General features: G+C 34.6%; 1 long non-coding RNA gene across 1 annotated transcript; it reads right to left on the reverse strand.

Annotated features, from left to right (window-relative positions):
- Positions 1 to 11339: 11339 nt before the first annotated feature.
- On the reverse strand, positions 11340 to 13163 carry LINC02573 (long intergenic non-protein coding RNA 2573). Its single transcript, NR_151724.1, has 2 exons — positions 13030 to 13163; positions 11340 to 11824 (listed from the first exon to the last, which is right to left on the reverse strand). It is a non-coding gene; the product is annotated as a long intergenic non-protein coding RNA 2573 (long non-coding RNA).
- Positions 13164 to 22892: the final 9729 nt, after the last annotated feature.

Raw genomic sequence — 22892 nt, forward strand, 5'->3', positions numbered from 1 at the left:
TGCTGTTTTCTTGATTTACTATGCATGCTCTATACACTGCTTATCCTCTGACTTTTTCCTCCAGCATTGATTTTAGCAAAAGTATATATCACTTTAATTATTAGCTTTCTACACTTGAGATAGGTAATATTATCCATATTTCAAAATACTTTTAGTAAGAAGCAAATGTTTAAAAGCATTTTTTGTCACTAGCCAGTTAAAAGTGGTAAAAACTAGGACTTTAACATAAGTCTGATTTTAAGGCCCATATTATACACACATTGCAGAAATGAAAAAGAAAATCTACTTGTACATTTTTCCAAGGCTAATAGTTCACATACTGAGCTATAAAACAGTATTTGATACTGCAAGAGAACATGGGCTGAGATGAAATGGGATGAGCTCATTTCAGTAAAGTATATCTGTGTATTTCAGGGTCTGTGTGCGTTAATTGGTGTAATATTTTAGAAGACATGATCAGTAATTTTCATTTGATATAAGTGGCCATTTGGCAACACGGTAGTGCTGTAAGAAGCTGAGTATTGGGATCAAAAGGACACTTGCCTTAGCTGACTATTACCTCTTATTTAATATACATTAAATAGACTATAAGTCAGGAAACCTTGTAAAGAAGCTATGGCATCATTTATAGTTATTGAAAATAATTTAACTAAATTCTGATAGAATGATTAAAAGAAACTGTTATACAGAAGAAAATGTACAAACAAAGGGTTAGAAGAATTTGGTGATGCCCTAAGTGAGATTAGAAGTCACCTGAAAATGACAGAGAACCTAGTCTTTGTGATTGCCAAGGTCAACTTAATACATGACAAGAGTTTGGTTAAAAGCAAAATAGTATTATTTTTACATATGTTAGTTTGCATACAGTTGAAAACGATTAGGGCTAAAATATAAGAATTATGACTATAAACACGTCTGTATCTGAAAGTCACACACAGATAAATATCCTATTATAGGTTGTAGAAATGCCTTCCTATACTACCTTATTTACCTCAACCAGAGTAATTGGAAGCAACACATATGGAAGGTGGGATACCCATCAAAGGAGTATTTTGGTGGCATTTGTAAATTATTTCTATAACTAAGAACACATTAATAAATCTAGTACTTAAATGTGTAGGAATATTTTGAAGCTTGGTTATCCTATGAATTTCTGAGAATATCAATTAACTGGGACATCAGATTTTTTCAAATATGATGTAATATTGTATTAAAATAACATATTTCTGAAGAGAAAAACAGATCAATTTGTAACCCAAAATAAATCAAACTAGAAGCTGACTCATGTAAAGAACATAATCATGATGGATAATCTAAGAGAGAAAAAAATGTTTGGTTGTGTTTTACATGTGTTGATAGATTTCACCCCTATGAGAATACATTTTTTAACTGTTATGTCACTTACATTGTAATCAGATAAACAGGCCATTGACAGGTAGACAAATAAGTGAACAAAATGACTTCAGGAAGAAATAATTGGTCTGAAAATACAAAATACAGGGATATGATATAAGATTACCAGAATATCAAAGAGATATCTGATTCATTAATGTGATGGTACATTTAATTAATATTAAGTACAAAAAAATCAAATTTTAGATCCAAAAAGGAAGGTAACTTCTAGTGAATTCTATTGTAGGTTTATCATATTCCAACTAATAATGTGAAAAATAGGAAAGAATGATGCCAACATTTAGAGTAAAGCGCTGAGAAACGATGAATTAAGATCACCAATTTCATCACTAAATGTTAGCCCTTACAATCCTTGTAATTCATTGGTTCCACTGCTTGAGCTCTCAGAATATATACAGACTGTCAAATACAGGCAGACCAATAATTAGTGCATGATATTAAGGATTTCAAATGATAAATTCTATATATGGAACTGCTTAAATAAGATGGTATATAACTAATAAGATTTCTCCATTTTGTGCTTGAACAAGTTTCTTAGTTTCAACAAATAAACACACACACAAACACTCAGCTAAATTTAAATTTCTGATAAACAAATAATTTCATAATGTAATTACATTCTAAATATTGCGTGAAATAAATGTATACTAAAAATAATTTGTTTTTTTTCTGAAATTTAAATTTGACTAATCATCTTGTACTTTAGCAAACCTAGGCTGATAAGATGTAATTACATATGATATTAAAAAACTTGGATAAAATATTGAATTTTTTAGCTTATAATTCAATACCAAGGCTCTGGGAGAATATGGGACATTGTAGAAAAATAGGATTCTCTAAAAAATATCAAGCTATTGGTGTGTGTCAAAGACTTACATTCACTCTTCAGTAAGGTGTTAAAGGAGACAGTTGTCAATGTTACTAAAGAGAGGAACTTCAATTTAAGCTTACCTGCTTGAAAGAAGGGGAACAGATACATATATAGTTGTGAGAAAAGAAAGCCTTCCTGCTTCTTGCTAAAAATCCAACAGTGCTAAGGATCTATAATTTGCAACTGCCAAAAGTGACTTGCCTGCCCCAAGCTAAAGTTGTGGCCAGCCAAAAAATGAAGGTCAGAAATGTCACAATTTAGCTTGACATCTAAGGGGAAATTAAAACAAAACAAAAATCAAAAAGGGATCTTTTTATTTATTGCTTGCTAAAATACATCAATGGATGCTGCGTTTGGCAGAGATAATAGTATCCTTACCCATAGACACAATTTAAAAGATGGCAGATAGGGGGTGGTGTGATTTGTTTTGTCCATTATTTCTCATTAATTAGAGTCAAATATCAAGTAATGAAGTCACAAATTGAGGCCTACAAATCTATGGATAAAATACAGAAAATTCAAGCGTAGGCTCCACATTCAACTTTCATGATTTAATAGATTTCTGCTGCTGGAGATTAAGAAAGGCCTCTCCTCCCCATTAAAGCTTTGGGCAGCAGTCTAAAGTTTTAAGAAAATTAGAGCTCTGGCATCAAGCTGCATGGAGAATGTATGATTTTTCCTTCTAGGAGGCTCATATCAACAGTGAATGGGCAGACTACAGATCAGCAGCCTTGAAAACATGTCAAGGATCAAGTTACTTTAGTATTCCTGCTTTATCGGAGGTGATGTAAATCCTGTACCAGTGATCACTGTATATTTTTTCAATTTACAGCCTTTTCTAAATTAAAATTGTGGCTGGGAACTGTGGCTTATGACCACAATTCCAGCACTTTGGGAGGCCAAGGTAGGAGGATGGCTTAAATCCAGGAGTTCGAAACCAACCTGGGCAGCAAAACAAGACCCCATTTCTACAAAAACAAACAAACAAATAAATAAATAATTGAAATTAAAAATTTTTTTAAATGGAAACTTAAAAAAATAGAATTTATTTGGTTGCCTTGTTTTTCCATTCACTGTTACATTTTCTGTGTGGAGTCATGTTTAAATTATCAGATAGTTCAAAGGTTGCAAGTTTTAAAAAGAAACATCTAGATATTTTAGGTTTATATGTACCTCATGTTCATATTCTGCAATATGATAGTACCTATAAATAAAGGCATAATGGCTACCTCTGCATTCATATAATTGGTATATGAGAGTGTTGCATTGGATTAGAAATTATTGAATGTGTATATTTAAGTGAAGATAGCTATCTACATACTTTGAGCATGTGAGGCATTGGATCTTGAGTAAAAGACTACAGGATTTATTGTTTATCTGAGTTCATTATCTGATTTCTTTATGTGATTATAGTAACCAAGGAGGAGCACCCTTTTCACCAGGGATTGGGTTATAAATAGCCAATTGACTACTTGTTTCACATCAGAATCACCAAACTTCAAACAATTATCACTTTTTTTATTTTTTAGACAGGATCTCACTCTGTCACCCAGGCTGGAGTGCAGTGGTAAGATTATGACTTACTATAGCTTAGGCCTCCTGGGCTCAGGTGATCTTCCTGTCTCAGCCCCCTGACTGGCTAGGACAGCAGGCATGCACCACCACACCAGGATAATTTTTGTTTTTGTTGAGACAGGCTTCCCTCATGTTGCCCAGGCTGGTCTCAATCTCCTGGGCTCAAATGATCCTCCTGCCTTGGCCTCTCAAAGTGCTTGGAGTACAGACATGAGCCACGGTGCTTAACCAAGATAAAAGCTTATGGCTCCAGAGTTTACAGGTTTCATATTCACTGGCAGAAGGAGATATGAGAGAGAAAAAAGGATTCAGGAAGAAGAGGAGAAAGAAAAAAAAAATAAAGTACTCTAAAAGAAAATGAACCTATAGACTATTGTTTTCAATCTGGATGTTGCAAAATATTTGTGAGTTATAAAATTAATCCACTGGTTGATGGTCAATAACTTATTTTTTTAAAGAAACAATAAAGTAGAATTAAATAGGATGGAAAATAGAAGTATTAAAATCATCAATGTGCATCATATAGAGTAAAAACTATTGTTTTATTACACTTTTATTTATTTGTGCAGTATATGTGTACATGTGTGATTTTCTAGGATTGTGATGTAAAATATATTTCTTACTTTAAGTAGTTGTTCAAAAATGTTTGAAATGCAGTGAACATATTCTACTTCCAGGAGCTTATCATTTTGATGTATAAGCTACCCCAATATTCTCTCTACTATCTTCATTTCTTATTTTTATTTCACTTATATTAATGTTATAAGTACTTTATACACACTAAGTCATGTAATCCTCCCAACATCCCCATGAAGGTGTTACTATTATTATCCCAATTAGTGCAGTGATATAATTGAAATACACAGAATTTATGTAATTTGCCAAAGCTCACTCAGTTGGCAAATGGCAGGGTTAAGATTTACACTAGCACCTGGAAAACTATCGATTGAGTGGAAGCAATGAAATACAAAACAAAATCTGTATTTTGTAAAAATATATTATAAAATGTTTCATGGGAAAAAGACAATGCTCCTGAAACTGGAACAGATACTGTCATATTAACAGTGGTGCGTTAGAATGGAAGTTACATCTTCTTGTTGCTGAGAACCTTAGGCCCATCCTGGACCAGTTCCAGGTCTTATGAGAATGTGGTACACTATGATAACTGCTTAGAAATTGCTGAGAAATCCTTGAATCTCGAAATGCCGACATAAATCTTTAAAGTGGTCATTATTTACAATAACATTAGTAACCCTTTTTCTTGAAAACTAATAGTATAATACAATTAGTTGTTAAAATTTTTTGTTTCAAAATAGTACTTATAATATCTATCCAGAGACCAAAACAATATCTTTGGTAATTAAGAAAAGTGCAATTTATATTTTAAAATAAAATATTGAATTTAAAGTGGTTTTATCTTTATGTGATAATATTTAATTAGCTCATAAATACTTAAGATTATTTATTTATTTTTTGAGATCGAGTTTCACTCTTGTTTCCCAGGCTGGAGTGCAATGGTGTGATTTCGGCTCACTGCAACCTCTGCCTCCTGGGTTCAAATGATTCTCCTGCCTCAGCCGCCCAAGTAACTGGGATTACAGGTGCCCGCCACCATGCCAGGCTGATTTTTTTTTTTTTTGTATTTTTAGTAAAGACGGGGTTTCACCGGGTTGGTGAGGCTGGTCTCAAACTCCTGAACTCAGGTGATCCACCCGTCTCGGACTCCCAAAGTGCTGGGATTACAGGCATGAGCCACTGCACCCGGCCAATACTTAAAATTTTTAATAATAAAGTCAGGGAATGAACCAGGCTCCCAAATGAAGATGCAGAAAGCATAGCTAAGTATTATCTAATTTCATATATATATAAAGCTAAGCATTACCTAATTGTTTATATATATAAAGCTAAGTATTATCTAGAGAGAGAGATATATATATTTACAGCAATTTATAAATAATGTAGCCACTGCACATAGCTTTAGAAAAATAGAAAATAAAGATGCTCATAGTCATCCTTGTACCTGTCTGTGTAAGATACCCCCTTTATGCTAGGCATTTTATGTACTTCATTTCAAAACAATAATGAGACCTACTAAACTGAGGGTCAGTGAGATTAACGAAATGGCCCAAGACCTTGCAGTGCATTGGCTGAAGAATAAACATGAAATTCCAAATTTGTCTGAGTCCAAAATACGTATCTTTTCAACTACAATGATCTTGCATTTTTTAATACAAGCTGGACACCTCTACAAAAAGGAGGAATGTAGAAAACATTATTTATTTTCAGAAAAAGTAAAAACAGACCTAAGTTCAGTAGAAAAACATGTTTCTATGCCTAAATTTAGCTTGTGACAGAGACTAGTCATTAAATGAACTCATTTTCACACGGGACATCTTGGTTTATGCGTTGAGAGAGAACTAAGTTGGATGGAGTCAGCGTAGTGTAGAGTGTGTAACCGTGGTAATTGTTTCAAACTGTGGGCCTTTTTAACTTAAAATTGATTTCCTTTCTGTACTAATATGGAAAGACATGATAAAGCAACTACAAAGAATTTAGTACTAACATTTCTGAAGTCATTCACATGTCTAGGTTATCTTATTCAGATATTACAGCCAAAAGTGCTATAAAATCTTTGTGAAGAGATGAATTTTACCAAATTTCAAACAGTTTTTACTATCTTGGACTTTTATGAGCATGGTTGAAGATGCAAACTTTGCAGAGAAGAAGTTAAAATTTTTCTCAGATGTGCATATATACTACCAAGATCATTATATCAGAGTCAAGAGATAAATGTCCCTACATTAATAAATAGATAAATAATTTAACCGTCTAAAAGGTAGGCAGTCCCACCAAGATGTCTTCATCCCTTCTTTGCAACACTTTTATCTCTTTCACTGCGATCTTAATTTTTATTCACATTAGGTATATTACCCTTAATTCTCCTCTTTAAATGTCTTAGATGCTCTTAGCAACATCAAATTCTGATGACTCCCATCGTGCCTTCACAGTTTTAAGTATATTTTACTGCTCTGTGACTTGCAGGGCATAATTTAAAGCTAAAATGTAACTGTTTAATCTTTCTTAGTTCAGTAAATTTATGTCTATGAGAAATGGAAGAACTGCAGGAGGGATAATGCTCCAGTGAATTAATATTTTCGAACCACCTTACCACATTGCCACATTTTCTCAGCTGTAGGGCTCAGCCGAGCAGGAAAGGCCAAGGGAAATGTAAGGGGGCAATGGCTGTTCCAGTGATGGTGAAAACATTGGCATAGCTGTTTGTAGCAATGCTCATTGTCACTGTAATGGCATTGCAAGATCACCTCAATAATATTTAAACATAGTCATGCAAATATATTTCTAAAATTATGATTTTGAGTTTACATACCATATTCTGAAAACCATAGTACAATTCTACATTCCTGTATTCTGAAAACCATAGTACAATTCTGCATTCCCATATTCTGAAAACCAGAGTACAATTCTACATTCCTGTCCAAAATTTCAAACATAGCTCAACGACAAAGATATGTGCCAATCAGAAATCCTTCTGCCTCCACATTGGATAATGAGTCATTTTAAAATCAATGTAAATACATCAATTCTCTGCTAGAAAATAAAGTGGGTTAGACCACACATGTGAAGATACTGAATGTAAGGCTTTAGATAGGATACTCTGACAATATTTGTATTTACTCTTCAAGCCTATACGGGTAGTTGCATATCTTTTCACACACCACTGAAAAGCTAGATGAATTCTAATTATGTGAATTTAAACTGACTGTTGTGAATAAGATTCTGTCTTCTAGCATTAAATCTGGGGGGGGGCGGGAAACTAGCAGGAAGCAAGTGGCTAATGGGAAAGTAATTGACTTTCTATGGCTACACATTTCTTATTACACAAAAAATAAAAAACAAAAGGGGTATTGTTTAAGAAAAATTCAAACTGTATTTTTCTCTGCTCTCACACCACAACAATCAACAACACACAAAAGGACTTCTGTGGCCAAATTGGTGGTGTATGGTGGGGGTTGATTTCTGCATCAGACAACAATAGGGTGTCCTCCAATTCAATTCTGACTCTATCTACATGGAGATAAGTGTCAGATTCCACAGGTGGGGAGCTCAGTTTTCAAAACTACCCTCCCTCCGGACACTAGTCACGAAAGTAGGTCTCTGAAAATTCTGAACAAGCAGCTTCGAGTTGGGTTTTCCAGAACCAGTAATTTTCTACAGCAGCTCACAGTATTCAGGGAAAAACTAAATGTGCCAGTTTATTATAAAGGATATTACAAAGGATACAGATGAAGCAATGCCTAGGATCAGGTATGTGAGAAAGGGCACAGAGCTTCCGTGCCCTCTCTGAACGTGTTGCCTTCTGGGAATCGCCACTTGTTCAGGTATCTGTAAACTCTCTGAATCTTGTCCTCATGGGCCTTTTATGGAAACTTCACTGGATAGGCATGATTGACAAGTGTGTGGAAATGTGACTGGACAAAAGGAGTATAATCTTAACCCAGCAACGCTTGTCTGTTCAGATTCTTCTTGGCCTCGCATGCAGTATTCCTTTCTTCAGTGTGTGCGGCAGGACCCCCTCTGGAATGAAGGTCTTAGGACCCACAGTCAGATTAGAGTTCTGCCTTAGGCAAGTGAAAGGAAGGCAGGACAAGGTTGAAGAGAGAGATTCTGTTTTCTGAGGCCCAAAGTCCCCCAACATTATGAAAAAGGATATGGGAGTTATGAGGCAAAAACTGGATGAAAAAATACATACGTAATATGACAAACACATACCAGTATATTGCAGAATGAGAGCAAGAAAAGTTGCCCTGCCAGGCGCGGTGGCTCACACCTGTAATCCCAGCACTTTGGGAGGCGGAGGTGGGTGGATCACCTGAGGTCGGGAGTTCAAGACCAGCCTGACCAACATGGAGAAACCGTCTCTACTAAAAATACAAATTAGCCGGGCTTGGTGGCACATGCCTGTAATCCCAGCTACTCGGGAGGCTGAAGCAGGAGAATCGCTTGAACCCAGGAGGCAGAGGTTGCGGTGAACTGGGATCGCGTCATTGCACTCCAGTCTGGGCAACAAGAGTGAAACTCCGTCTCAAAAAAGAAAAAAAAGAAAGAAAGAAAAAGAAAAAAGAAAAGAAAAAAAAAAGAAAAAATTGCTCTAATAATTTGCTGATTAAAATGCATACATCTGAAAAGTTATTCAGCACAGGAAAGAGAATACTTTCTCAGAAAAATGTATGCCTTTTAACTAAATATAAGATAATAGCATGCAATACAGATATATATATATACACACATTCCAGAGGTGTCAAGAAAGTGAGAAAAAAAATTCTTTAAAAAAAGAGAAATAATACAATAACAGAGAAGATAGCACTACCAAACCCAGCAGGTAGGGTACATACAATCCTTTATGAGTTAGAACTTTGGATACAGGAGAAAAACATGTGGCCCTTTTTACTGGAAATAACATTATCCATTTGACAAGGATAGATACTGAGAAGAAAGTCCGCCTTACCAAATTTCGAGTTTCATGACTGTCCTCAAACAGGTTTGGGGTTAGAATTTATACCACACCTGCTTCCAGAAAAACACGCGTAAATAATTCAGTTTGAATACACCTAAGTTAGGTTGTTACTTTATTTCCCTGGGAAAAACAAAAGTAAAACTTAAGTAAAACAAATCTCAAAAAATCTCCCTCAAAAGTGTTCCCAGATAGTGGACTCCGTAATCACGATAAGAAAGATAATAGAAACATTAAACAAAACCCTGAGGCAGCAAATATTAAACTTAACAGAAATAGAATGTGAAGTAAATCTGTTTCATATATTCAAAGAAAAATTGTTAACTTTAAAAAATCTCTGGGATTATTAACAAAAAAAAAAAAACTCCAGACATATAAATACTAAGCCAAATAAGACAGGTATAAATTAATTGATATGAGACACACTAAACAAATTAGACATTAATTTTTAATAAATCACTGCATAATGGTAAAATATTTGATTCAGCAAGAAGATATAGCCATCTCATGTGAAATTGCCCAGTAACATAGCTTGAAAGTAGATGGAACAAAAACTTGACAAAATTCCAAGAAGAAATGAAACAGAATTCAGAATCATATTGAGGGATTTTAGCACACACTTCCTGGAAGATAAATCAGACAAAATAATCTGATAAATCAGAAAAAAATAGATAATTGAGGATTTGAACAACACAAGGAACTTGACCTAATTAGTAGATATGAAAAACTCACTCAATACCTGGAGAATGCACATTGCTTTCTAGAATTCATGGTAAATTTAAAAATTGACCTTAAAATAATTAGCAAAGTAAACTTCAGTAATTAAAAAATGATATTATATATATCTTTTACTGACCATAATGTAATTTGGAAATCAACCAAAAACATAACTAAAAGAAACAATTTAGAAAGTATAATAAGCTGCACTGAAGCCAAACACAGGTAAAAGAATCAGTCACAATAGAAATTAGAATTTATTTACATTGAATTGTTTGCCATCATAACATAGGTAAAAACTTTTGAAAATATACTTAACAGGATAATTTTATCTTTAAATGTTTATTTGAGAGGAAAGGAAATCCATGCCCAGGTTCTAACTTAGGAGTTTATAAAAGGAATAACAGAATAACGGCGGTGGATAGCTCATTTAAAACAAACACACACACACACACACACACACACACACACACACACACACACAGAGAATCAACAAATGTAAATTCTTGTAATTTCAAATCTAATAAAATTGATCAACTTGTGACAAAATTGATGAATAGATACAATTAGGAGTTGAAAAGAAGATAAAATTCAATATGTAGTAAAAATATTAAAATGTGATAGAAAATTATACTCTCAAATAAGAAAATGTTCTTTTAAATTGAAATTTAACTAGAAAAAAATTTCCATGCCTAACTAAAAATAGGTAATATGAGTAGTCTCACATTATCAAATAACAAAATCAATACTTAAATAATAACCAAACAGTTATCATCATTCCCGAATCATTTTAATTTGAATTCTTTGCAACATTTGTGGAGTAAATAATTCTAGCCTTAAAACAAGATTAAACAAGAACAACAAATCTCTTCAAATTTATGAATCTTATATAAATTTGATACAAAAACTGTAGGAGAATGAGAAACTACAAATTAATGCACTCATAACTATAAATGAAATTTAACATTAATATTAAAATACTAAATCCAACAGTGGTTTAAAAATATAATCCTCCCCCAAAATTCAAAATCGAATGAACATTTGAAAATCCACCGATGTAAGTGTCTGGATTAGAAGATTAAAGAAAATCAGCATGTTTATTTCAATGGATTTAAAATAATTATTAGATTATGTTCAATACCAGTGCATGATCCAATTGAAAAGAATCTTAAATAGAATGACACAAGTAATTTCCTTAGTTTATAAAAACTTGCAATAATAATTCCATTTAATAGTAAATTTTAAGAGCTTTTCCTTCGAAATCAAAAGCAAGTAAAATATTTTCACCATATCTCTTCAATTCAACATTCAGTGCATAAATAAACAAATAAGCCAAAATTAAGTTGACATGATTGGAAAAAAAAGAAACAAGATAGTTAGCTTTTGCAAAGTGAGGACAAGTTTATGTACATAGACAACCTGGGAGGATCTACAGTCAGATAATTAGAATTGTAAGGTTGCTGGCTGGATTAGTCAGGTTAGCAAGAATACAATATAGTAATTAAAAAATAAACACAACCTCTGGTTTGATTCACGCACACATTTATTCTTGCATATACCATGTCTGATCTTGGCACAAGAAACTCTCCATAGTGTGTCCTACATGCAGTGATTCAGTGATCCAGGCTGATCCAATCTCATAATACTGCTAACTCCACACCAGGCCTCTGCATCTCTCAAGCAGGGTAGGCAATTGCCTTCGTCCCTCTGTGCTGCTATAACAGAATAGCACAGACTGAGTAAATTATAAAAAAGAGAAATTTATTTTCTCACAGTTCTGGAGGCTGAGAAGTTCAATATCAAGGTGCAAGCATTAGTGTCTGGTAAGGGCTTGTTCCATCGATGGCATCCTCTCACAGTGACATCCTCCCATGGCAGAAGACACAAGTGCAAAAAGGGGCAAACTCTTGCTGAAGCCTCTTTTTTATTAATCCATTCATGAGGACAGAGCACCATGACTTCATCACTTCCCAGAAGGCCCTCACCTCTTAATCTCATCACAATGGAGATTAAGTTTCAACATGAATTTTGTAGAGGATGCATTCAACCCGTAACAGCAATTATGTTCACACATTAATATAAAAACAAAGATCTATCTTTATAAAATGTTAAACATTTATTTTGCATTCCAAATTCCCAGATCCTAGAGTTAAAATCATTATGAAGAAGTTTTTGAGCCTCTATTATATGGCTGTAACATTTACAAACCTCCAAATATTTCAAAGCCACTGTTTTGGTATTGATTAAATGAGAATAAAATGTGTTATGAGCTCACCTCAATTGCCCTGTCATATAGTATTTTATCCCATTTTTATCTCTCTCTCTTCCTCATGAAGCTTTTAGAGCAATAAAACAGTATAATATATGCAGGAATATTTTTTATGTTATAAAGATATACACAGATGTAACAGAAGGATATACAAGATACGTTCCTAAAAATTTCAGAAATACAAACATCTATGATTGAATCAATGATTCCCCGGTATTAGCAAAATTGTAATGGAGAAAAAATATAGACAATGTATAGGGTAAGATACATAATAATAAATTCTCCTGTTTTGAGAGCCCCCTCCTGCAACTAAATAGGGGTTCCAGTACCAAAGTAGCTGGCAACCCTGCCCTAAGAGGATATACAGGGAGTTGGATGTGAGTGTTTACAGTGTGCCTCTCACAGGACATTATTTTAGCTGGTGGGTGACCTAATACCTAGTTATTTGACCCATGACCAGGGGGCTTTTCACACGGGAAACTTGTTTGTACTGACAGTGCCCTTGTGGCTCTTGTCTGATCCATGCCCAGCTTATACCTACCTTACCATCACTCTGGTTCCAGGACCTACAGATGTCCCTAATTTTTCAGATGGAAGGTATAAATTCAGTACACCACCACTATAGAAAAAAGCGCAATGACTTTTACTTACATATCCTGAGCAGGGAGGGCACAAGGAGTCCAGAGGGTAATTCTCCATTCCCAGGTCACAGGAAGCAGGAATGGAGGGTCAGGTGGACAGAGAGAGAATATTTTGGCAGTTAGCAGTATGCATAAGGAAATAGGATGTGGGGCACTTTAAGTTCACAAACAAGTGCCTGGAGTGTCTGTTTAAAGAAAGGGGAACCAGTCAGCTAGGTGAGAAAAATGCTGCTAAGTTCTTATCTCTAGCCACCGGCTTGAGCCATTTGGATGTGGTATAGAACTGAAAACTATGTCAGGGATGACTGAGCCCTGCTTCTGGCGTTAGAAAGTTAAACCTGTGCTCAAAATAGAGGCCAAGCCAACATAAAATTATAAAAATGCACCACATCCCTCACCACCACTGCAGAAAATAAAAATTCCCAGAATGGTGTAGATGGACAAATAAGCCAATATTTATTTTAAATGTTTAAGCTAAGAAAGATTTGATACACATAGGTCATTGGAGCTAATCCTTGCAGAATGTGCAGCTTTAAACAAAGATAGATAAAAATGACAGCCGATGAATTCCAGCCATAAGGCAAGAATGGAAATGAACATGGAAATTTACGAAGGCTACATGGATCATACTGACCAGTTCAGTGTGAGTGAGAAATGAGATTCATAAGAGGAAATAGTGGGATGATAAAGAACTTGGAATGGTGGTGAGAAGACAGGCCAGGGGTGAGGTCATGGAGGTCTTTAGTTATATTCAGTAGAAAATGCGTAATCATACAAATTCTCTTCCAGCATTTTGAGGCAAAAGAAAACAGGGCAGGGGTTAGAATGTTGTCCAAGAAAAGAACAAAAGAAGAATTATTTGTGAGAGATGCAATTTGCAATTTAATTGTCCGAACTTGGTCAGGGATAATATGTGTCTGGGCAAACAGTGTCTGAGAGAATGGGAACACTATTTATCTAAATGGTGTTGTAATACCAATGAGCGGAATCGTATTGCTGATAATTTTTTATATCACACACTTTACACAAACTATGTTGAAACATTTAAAAAGAGCTTATTTTTAGTTTGAGGAGCAAGTGGACCAGCAACCTATCAACTAAACATGTGCAACTTGAACTCAATAGAGGTCAAAGTGAGGAAGGAATGCAGATTAGTGACCAAAGTTATGGACGTGATGTCTGAAATCATGGGAGTGTCTGACCATTCCAAGATAATATGCTGTAGAAAGTTGAAAAGTAGAGCTCCCAGTTGTATTTAGTTCCACCAAAATTAAAGGAAAATAATTATATACTTTAAATAGCATTTATTAATTACAGCTGTATGTAAGGTGCTACGAATGTATTAAAGATAGAGGGCTTAAAACAAAAGTTACTCTCATGTAACATAATCAAACAAAACGTAGATTAGTAAAAGGAATATAATCTATTTTTTTCAGCCTTGAATTGTGTTGGGTATTTGGGATGATTTCTCATAAATCACATGCAGCTAAATAGCCTTTCAAAACACCTTATCTAAATTCGGTGTATAAAGAGGAAAAGGACTTGTTGAAACTGACATAGGCAATGCCAAAATATGGATTCATGTATCTGTATGAGCCATTTAAGAACTTATGCTGTTTTTTTTTAACTTCATGAAACAAGACAGGTTAAGCAGTATAATGGTAAAGGAAATGTCTTTATGATTAAGAAGTCATTAGAAACCTTGGAGGACCTAGTTGTATAGACTGTTAGAAGAGGCAGACATAACTCTCAGTGATTAATGAATTAGCCTGAGGAAGAGAAAGCCAAAAATGACATAATATTCTGAGAAATATAACCGAGGAAATACAGCCAAGAATATGATCTTCAGAGAAGTAGCAGAATCATTGGAAGATCCTTTAAGAATAAGGGCAACTAACACATCTGCAGACAAAATGAAAATAGGAAGGAAATAAATGATTTGGAGAGAATTTCATAATTGATTTAATATCCCTAAGAATGAATACGGGCATCAAGTCAAGGCCCTAATGCACGGGACACATCAAATGATGAAAATAATGAGAGAAAATATACAAACACTGATTATATGGATACAACACAGTGATTAGCAAGCAGAAACGCTGGTAAAATTATAACAACAGGAAATGGTGACTCCCTTTACAAATGTCCTTGAAGCAAAGATTCTCGACTTGTGTTACTTCGCTTTCAAAAGTCAAAGAATCTTTTAAAAACATGGGCTGTTTGGATATTTATTTTCTCTTACAGCTGGAATTTAATTGTTACGGTGCTAACACTACACTCTGATCCTTACATCAACTAAATGTATACCCAGACACACATCTACACTGCCTATGTAAAATAAAATTATAAAAATATTAATAATGTAGACAAATGTATAATTGTATGTGTATGTAACTTTGTTAGGTATATGTTACTTTTGGAAAAAGCCAAAGTTAAGTATTAAAATACAGTGAGAGTTTAATAAACATATGGAATTTAATTTATACTCTTTAGCAATACAGCAATAAATCTCTCCAGTCATAGTAATTCTCACTGTTTCAAGAACATAACATCTAAGTTCAGATATATGCATGTATGATCTTTAACTTATTCTATACTCAGTGTCTAGGATTCTCTAGAAATTTGACATACCTCTCTAGAATACCTGTTTTATCCTGAAAGCTGTCTGCTTCATTAAAATTTTTCAAATATATATTCATATGTATACTACTATAAGTATGTGTAGACACACACATATAATTATGTGTATATATGTGTTTTATGCATACATGTATGTACTTTATTCTGATAAAAACATATATCTATCTTAAATCAACTGTAATTTTACTTAACTTTTTTAGTGGTTAAATTTTTTTTTGAATAATTTCCTGATCTTAGCTTCCTTGGGGAAGTGTATATGCCCTGAGTATGGAAGAGATTCAAAGTAAATAGTAGTTTCCATGGGAACGAATAAACTTCACATCCTGACATAATAAATTAGACCTGGTTTGAGTGTGGCAAATCATTTTGGCTTTCTGAATTCAGCTTCTCATATGTAAAAAAAGGGTATGAACTTTTATCTTATAACCTAATGCAGCTGACCCGTGAGTAACATGGGGGTTGGGGCGCCAACTCGCATGCAGGAAAAAATCTGCATATAACTTTTGACTCCAAAGTCTTAACTACTAATAGCTCACTGTACACTGGAAGCCTTACCGATAGCATAAAAGTCAATTAACACATATGTTGTAGGTGATATGTATTATATACTATATTCTTACAACGAAGTAAGTGAGAGAAAAGAAAATGTTATTAAGAGCATTATAAGGAAGCAAAAATATTCTTACTGTTCATTAAGTGGAAACAGATCATCATAAAGGTCTTCATCTTCGTGTCTTCACCTTGAGGAGGCTGAGGACTAGGAGGAAGAAGAAAGGTTTCTCTTGCTGTCTCACAGGTGGCAGATGCTAGAAAGGCGGACAAGGTAGAAGGGTAGACGTGTATAAGTAGACTTGTGCATTTCAAACTTGTGTTGTTCAAGGGCCAACTGTATGTAAAAAATTCTCACAGAAATGCAACATTATTAATAAAATATATTGTAATTACATCATTGCATATTGCTATGTTTATTTCTTCATAATTAGGGAGCAAGTTCTTTCTAGATCTTTCAGTATTTTTTTGCCCATGTTAATAACTGACCATATGTTAGTAAAATCAAGACATATTGATTTTTTCCAAGTCAATAACATTATAATATTAACATACCAAAACTGTAAATGATTTAGCGTTTGGATGTATACACTAATCACTCTTATATAAAGATAAAAATAATTTTATTGGTCCAGTGTGGTGACTCACACCTGTAATCCCAGCACTTTAGGAGGCCGAGGCGGGTGGATCACCTGAGGTCAAGAGTTCGAGACCAGCCTGACCAACATGGTGAAACCCCGTCTCTACTAAAAACACACAAAAAATTAGGCATAATGGCAGGCGCCTGTAATCCCAGCTACTCAGGAGGCTGAAGCAGGAGAATCGCTTGTACCCAGGAGGCAGAGGTTGCAGTTAGCCGAGATCTCGCCATTGCACTCCAGCCTGGGCAGGAAGAGCAAAACTCCATCTTAATAATAATAATAATAATAATAATAATAATAATAATAATAATAATGTACAAAGTATTTGGTGTTAAAATATGATTAAAGCTGTCTAATATTAAAATTTGACATTTGCATGCTAGTTATTGCTACATATGAATGTGTGGAGATGCCAAACTTGTGATATAAAATCTATTTCAAATTACGCAGAGATACATCTGAGAGATACGCAGAGATACATCTGAGAGATACGCGGAGATACATCTCCGAGTTTGAAATCACCACACAGTGTTGCACAAATAGTGGAATGCTGACACCAAGTGCAGAACAAACTACCTGAGCATCACCTCTTATCTTTAAAATGTGGAGCATAGGCCGGCGCTGTGGCCCAGGCCTGTAATCCCAACATTTTGGGAGGCCGAAGCAGGTGAAGCGCGAGGTTAGGAGTTTGAGACCAGCCTGGCCAACATGGTGAAACTCCTTCTCTACTCAAAATACAAAAATTAGCTGGGCGTACTAGTGCGTGTCTGTCATCCCAGCTACTTGGGAGGCTGAGGCAGGAGAATTGCTTGAACCTGGGAGGCAGAGGTTGCAGTGAGCCGAGATCGCATCCCTGCGCCACTGCACTCCAGCCCGCGCGACAGAGCAAGACTCCGTCTCGGAAAAAAAAAATGTGGAGCATAGTAATTTTCTTTCCACAAACTGAGCTTTAAGTGAAATGTTGACTGTGAATAATTTAGAATGCAACCTTATATCTAGTATTTCCTCAATAAATATAAGCTCCTTTAAATTTAAAATGTTACTTCCTTGAGATGCTAAAAACTTTGACTCTTCTCTTTAGAAGAGGGAAAACTGACTCAAAGCAAATTTTAATTTATTACTTTTCAAAGTTAAATATTATATGTTGCTTTTCCCAACCAAATTCTTCTTGGCCGGAATCGTACTATTTTTGTGAAAATGGAGGCATGAACATATCTAATGTTTAAGCAACGAATCTTTAATATCTTTTTTAAATAAAATTATTCCTTAAATCATATCCTAACAATGTCCATTAAAAGTAGAAAAGGATCTCTTTTTACTAAATAGTTAGATTGACCCATAAGAAGTTATTTCTGAAGGTCAGAATGGTTGAATGTCACACTTCATATAGCTCAACCTAATTAGTGTTCATTCTCTAAATTCCAATAACAAGTAAATATGTCAGATAAGTCAAAATGTGAGTTACTGTTTTAACTACGCTGCTTGCAGATAAAAAATAAAGCCATGCTTCTTGAAAATGTTTAGTCCCAAATAAAATTTTGTTATACAATAAATAGAAGCCTTACTTTAACTTGGGAAGGCGGAGGTTGCCGTGAGCCAAGATGGTGCCACTGCACTCCAGCCTGGGCAACAGAGCAAGACTCCGTCTAAAAAGAAAAAAAGAAAAGAAGCATACTATGGATATTCTTGCATACTTGTACTGAGGCATTTAAATAAAACTGATTGAATTTTAATTTAATTTTAAAATACACACATTTTAAGTGCAAATAATCATTTCAAGGCTTAAACTCAGGGTACTCTCGGTTCCCACCTACTCTTTCTCTAAAGGATGTTCTTAAAACATGCTAGTGTCAGAGAGAAGATAAAAGGTACCTATTTAAGGTGCCTATTTATGGTTCTTGTGCTAGTATTCAACCAGGGGTACTTCATTCACCCTGTGTGTGTGTGTTCTCTACCTTGGATGCGATGCTCGAGGTCTCTATTCTCTGTAGTCTTTTTTCATACACCAGACACCTACTCATATATCAATTCTCTGAGGACATGTTTGAACTATCGGAGTTCTGGAGCTTCTTGACTGCTTCTGCTTCCCCAGATTCGATGTGTTTTTCTCTGGACCGCTTGCCTAAATATTCTCATTATCGTCTTTCTTTTTTTGGTTGTGTTTTGTTTTTTGTTTTGTTTTGTTTTAGATAGAGTTTCGCTCTTGTCGCCCAGGCTGGAGTACAATGGCGTGATCTCGGCTCACCGCAACCTCCGCCTCCGGAGTTCAAACAATTCTCCTGCCTCAGCCTACCGAGTAGCTGGGATTACAGGCATGCGCCACCATGTCTGGCTAATTTTGTATTTTTAGTAGAGACGGGGTTTCTCCATGTTGGTCAGGCTGGTCTCGACCTCCCCACCTCAGGTGACCCACCCATCTCGGCCTCCCAAAGTGCTGGGATTACAGGCACGAGCCACCGCGCCCAGCAGTCTTTCTTTTTCCTAATCCAGAGTTTAAGCAGGACAGGAGTAGGATGCTGGATACCAAATGCCGCTAAGACACTGAACAATTTCAAAGGCTATGCTCTGGAAGACAAGGAACAAGAGCTTCTACTGTGGGATTTACCCAAAGTTTCCTGGATATTTCTGAAAACACCCCCATCACTTAAAATGAGAGTTTTGATAGAAATCTGTGTGTGATCGTGTATGTGTTTGCAGGAGGGAATGATATGGAGCAGTCAATACATTTATTCCCCCAACTTTATTCCTTTGTCCTTTTCTGATCTACCCATTACCAAAAGTCCTTTTAATTCCTATTTCTGTCTAGTGAGAATCTATTACTTTCTTCTTTATTTTAGTTTCACGACTTTATGAACTTGGCAAATGGTGGCAGCGGTAAAAGTCTATTACTTAGGAAGAAAACTATAGGCAAATCTTTTTTTAAAAATCATATCCTAACAATGTACATATTTAATAAGCACTAGTAAGTACTTATATGAGAGAAGTAAAAAATGATATAAGAATGTCTAAGATGGTTACTTATTCTGAACTTAGCAAGGTCAACAGAATACAACAAATATATGTTAAGCTAAAATCAGAAAACAGAAAAGAAATAAAGAAACAAACCTGAACACACTACTGGAAAAATAGTTTAGTTTCCTATGTAAAAAGTGCAAGAGTGATCTTTTTTTCTTATCCAATGAGTTCAGCTGCCTAAATTTCATTAATAAAATTTTTAAATAATTTAGAATTATACATGACCAAGTAAATTAGAAATATACATTTCATGTTTGTTGAACTTTGCACAAAATAGAATTTATACAATTCCACTTGAACATGTGCATAATTATCTGTTAGTTTTTTATAGAAAAACTAAATCAGATGTCTATTGATTTTTAAACTCTCATTTTTTCTCAAAGAGCAAGCAGTTGAATTTAAACATCCAATGACAGCAAATTTGATACTGTATCATTATGATAACAGCAAAAATAATCTCATTGACAGATATTACTGAAATTTCATGTATATTTAATTTCATTACCATATTTCATTGGTCAGCATATTTTAATGGAGTTTTGTTAGCTTTTTCATATTCATGTGTGAGAGCAAGAAATAGGCTAACATGCTTTAATAAGAGTGCGTGTCTTTCAAAAATTAATTTTTGAACATTGTTATTGGTTAAATTCAAAGAGGTAGATGAAAATTTAGATAAATATTTCACTTGACATCTTACTCTATCTCTGTGTAACACAGAGTTATTTTTTACTTTACAGCTTGACTGAGCAGTTCTCTGATTACTTTTCTCTTGGTAAGCCTAGACAATTGCTCTTGACGCTTGTCTATGATAAAAAGAAGTCATAATGATTTATAGTATACTGTTTAAAGTTCAAAATTACCCCTCTTGTAAACCTGGGAAAAACATACTTGCTGGTACCTTATATCTAACTTGTTGGTGATATAACTAATTAGAGATACGGTTTGACTACATGACTAGGGATATAAAAGTCGTAACTGGAAACGGGTCAATCTCTCTTAATCAGGTTTCTTTACATATGTACTGGTGGTTATTTTCCAGAGACAAAGAGAATCCTGAATAACCAAAGAAAGGATCCTGGTGAGCTGTTCCTAGAAGATTTGCTGACACCCAGGGCTTATCTGTGCTTTCTTTCTCTGGCCGTACTGTATACGTTGCCTCAACAATGTCCTTCATAAGCATGCTCTGTGAAGTCTAATGAGCCATTTCATTACCCACCTATCCAATGCTGCTACCAGATATATGCACATTGTACAGCTTCTTCTTAATTCTGTTGGTAGTCACCTGTGCAATCTTGACAATATGCTCATACCTCAGTTTCTCAAACAAACAATAGCCAGTAAAATTGCTTTATTGAACTTGCCTTACTTAATATACCTCCCCTTTACCAAATATTTTATATATTTTTGTTAGTTTCATGTTTCTCAATCCATTAATTTTAGATAATATCTCATTACCACTATGTAGGAAAAGAAAATATATTCTTCAACCCTCTCTCATCTCTTTCTAAATAGTTTCATCTTCCAACTTCCAGGAACTATAATTTGATTTTCCAATTCTATAACATGTTTAGAAACTATACGTTTCTATAAGTTTCTGTCAGTTTCAAAACTTGTGTTAGGTTTTCAAAGTCTACAACATATTTAGAAAATATAAGTTTTGATGAGTTGTGTGAGGATAATTTTTTTATTTTTCATTTTTTGTCTACTAACAGGGAGGCAGCTACTCTGTACCTCTTTAGGATGTTTGATATAATAGGGCCCATCTTTTGATTTTAAACTATAAAATCTCAGCTCTTCTCACCCTGGGAATTGTGAATACATACCTCTAAAATTAACTTGAAAATCTCTCAGGAAGTGTACAAGAAACTATCTCGAAGTAGAACTAATTGTTCTCAGGGAGATAGGAAAATTTTACATTAGTGTATAATTTTGTGTGAAATTTTATCCAGACTGTTTTATCTTTCTCAGTACTCGCATTTGTATAATCTGATTCATACTCAATAATACATTGGCTCTTTCCTTCCTTAAGAGTATGGAGGTCTCTTTGTGTGGTAGGATTTTTTATTTCTTTCATTGTTGCCTTTTTGTTGGTTCTAATAATTAAACTCCAATGTAGATTGCTTGCAAATTTATGATTGTATAATTTTGTCCACCAAGAAGATTGATAGGAAAGGATGGATGATTTATACTGAAGTCATGAAACTTGTCTTATTTGAATAAGAATGTTAGACACCAATGTAAAATGGTATCGTTTTACATAGCACAGAATTAATTTCAAAAATGTATGTCACAAATTATATCATAATTAAAACATGATTTCTTTTAATAGATTGTTTTACCTAGAGTAGGCAATAGACTTTTTGCACTTTTATACACCAAGCACCTTATGCCATATTACATGTTAAAATGAATCTTACTTATACTTGGATGCATCCATCTCAGTGCCCTGAATTTCTTTTCAAATACAAATTGGTTGCTTTTTAGGCCTGCTACATGTTGCAGAATGTTGGATTCCACAAATAACAACACAACCTGTTTCTAAGAGAAAGCTGACCAAGGTAAAGGACAGCAATGTTTCTATGAAGCTTGGGCAATGTCTTGAAGTAGGGAGGAGACATTAGAATTTATTGAGAATTGGAGATTTTGTTTAAGGCAAGAATTTCAATGTTGATGGGCTTAATATTAGGTTAAGAATAATGCACGATACAGTAGTCTTAGATTAGTGAAAAACAGGATGAAGATTTTGAAGCAGAGAATTCAATGAATCTTAAGTCACACCCTGTTAATTTTTATTGAATTGAAGAGCTGTGGGTCTTCAGGAAGTTTCATAATGAACAATTAAACAATTTGCCTGGACTACAAACACTTGGGAAAGTACAGTAATGTGAATGAAGACAGTGGAATAGCAAAATCATGTTATTGTAGTGTTATGGGCTGAAATATGTCCCTCCAAAATTTATATATTGAAATTCTAACCACCAGTATTTTAGAATGTGACTATATTTGAACATAGGTTCTTTAAAGAGGT

This window comes from Homo sapiens, chromosome 21 (genome assembly GCF_000001405.40).
Source record: "Homo sapiens chromosome 21, GRCh38.p14 Primary Assembly".
NCBI lineage: Eukaryota > Metazoa > Chordata > Mammalia > Primates > Hominidae > Homo > Homo sapiens.